The 1,927-nt window shown below is 43.8% G+C and overlaps 1 annotated feature.

Annotated features, from left to right (window-relative positions):
- Positions 499–793: a silencer, noted in NCBI's record as "tiled region #15675; HepG2 Repressive non-DNase unmatched - State 22:ReprW, and K562 Repressive non-DNase unmatched - State 24:Quies". NCBI's record gives its function as "represses a minimal TATA promoter and a strong SV40 promoter by Sharpr-MPRA in HepG2 and K562 cells {active_cell/tissue: HepG2 | K562}" and the evidence as "EXISTENCE:reporter gene assay evidence [ECO:0000049][PMID:27701403]".

Genomic DNA, 1,927 nt, shown 5'->3' with positions numbered 1-1,927 from the left:
GATTAATAACTATGAGGGAGGCATGAAAGATACACCAAAGCCAGGCTAAGACTACCTTTTTGATGTAAGAAGGAATTATAGGAGAATTGACGGGGAACAACATTCTCATTGTGATACAGTGTTATTTCCCCTCAGATCCACATACAACCTAGAGGAGTCTGGTGTCTAGCCTTGGAGGACCACATTTTGGAAAACCCTACTCTACTGTAGGGGAGGGCACTTGTTATGGATTGAATGTTTATGTCCCCCGAAAATTCATATGTTTAAACCTAATTCCCAGTGTGATGGTATTAGGAGGTGGGGCCTGTGGGAGTTAATTAGGTCATGAGAGTGAGACCTTTATGAATGAGATTAGTGCCCTTATAAACGAGGCCTGAGAGCTCTCTTACCCATTCAGCCTTGTGAAGACACAGTGAGAAGACAATGATCTATAAACCAGGAAGTGGGCCCTTGCCAGACATCAGATTTATCAGTGTTTTGATCTTGGATTTCCCAGTCTCCAGAACTATGAGCAATAAATGTTTGTTGTTTAAGCCACCGAGTTTATAATATTTTTGTAGCAGCCTGAACAAACTAAGACAGCACTTTAGGGAACCAATTACAATTTGGAGGCTGTTCCTGGCACATTATCCAGCACAGTTCATTTGTGGTTTAAGCAAAACCAGTTACCAGGAGGTTCAATTCCACGGGCAGAACAATAGCCAGGCTTTTGAGTGGTAGAGTAGTTCAGAAGTCAGACATTGCTGTTATGGTCTGTTCTGACAGATCTCTGCTTAGGACCAGAAAAGCCCTGTAGGCATTGAGGATGTGGAGGAAGATCCAACCTGGGGGAAGGAATGAGGTGGTGGTTTGAGGCTGTACAGCTATTGGGCTTTTGCTCTGAGCATACCTGATCTTGGGGACCATACCGCTCAACACATTCACATTCCCTGCTCATCCCACATGTGGATGGATTCCTGCCCTTCTGTCCAGCCTCTTCACACCCAATTTTCCTGCTCTGCTTCCAGTTTGGGCTTGATCCCTAGATGCTCCCTTTTTGCTATGTCCTGGCTCCTTGCTGTGCTGCCCACACAACCCATGGTATTCTAAGGTTGTTAAGATTATTGTAAAAAGATGTTTAAGGAAGCAGAATGAAACACATGATGGCAGCATTGATGGTCAGACCATGAGAGTGTAGAAAAAAAATATTATCCTCTACTCATCTTAGGTTCTCTGGTTGGTGCCCCATAATGAGACTAGCTAAAGAAAGATTAACAAGAGAAAAGTAAACAGAATTTTATTAGCATGTGCATCATACTGACACATGGATGCACCAGAGATGAGGAACTTCAAGGGGTGGTTAGAATTTAGTTTGTATGTTGTCTTGGGCTAAAACAAAGGAAAAGGGGATTTGGGCTTCTGGGTGGGGGAGGCAAGTTTTGGGAAGGTGACCAGGAAAAGTATGGTCAACAAGGGCTGTTTAGCAAGGTGTTTTCTGCACATTTAAGTCAGTGTCTTCTCCACTGATAAGAGTTGTTAAGAGTCCTCCTTTTCCTGGTATGGGAGAGGGAGACACCTTTTACAAAAGTAAATTTCCTTTACAAAAGGAAAATTTGTGCCCTGTTTTTTAGAGCTTTTCTTATGTCTTTTGATTTTCAATTGCCTTTAGCTTAAAAGAATCCAAATGCCCAAGAGCCATGTTTTGGGGTAGCATATCCTGATACCTTTCAAGAGGATGGTATTGAAAGCATGCTGTCTTCAGGTGCTGCCCCCACCCCCATGTGACTATTTAGGCCTTTTCCCACTAAAGTGTTCAGGCTAGGGCTCATTTCACGTGAAGTTAAAAACTGGCCTTGCTAGCCAATTCCACTTGCCCTGCATGCCCCACCTGAGCAACCGGAGTTTCCTGTAGTTGTGTGTGTTCCCATGCCAAGGCTGTCGCTTCAGG

The sequence above is a fragment of the Homo sapiens genome, chromosome 2 (genome assembly GCF_000001405.40).
Source record: "Homo sapiens chromosome 2, GRCh38.p14 Primary Assembly".
Taxonomy (NCBI): domain Eukaryota; kingdom Metazoa; phylum Chordata; class Mammalia; order Primates; family Hominidae; genus Homo; species Homo sapiens.
Note: the sequence above shows the minus strand (reverse complement) of the source record. Positions and strands in the feature narration are given on the sequence as shown.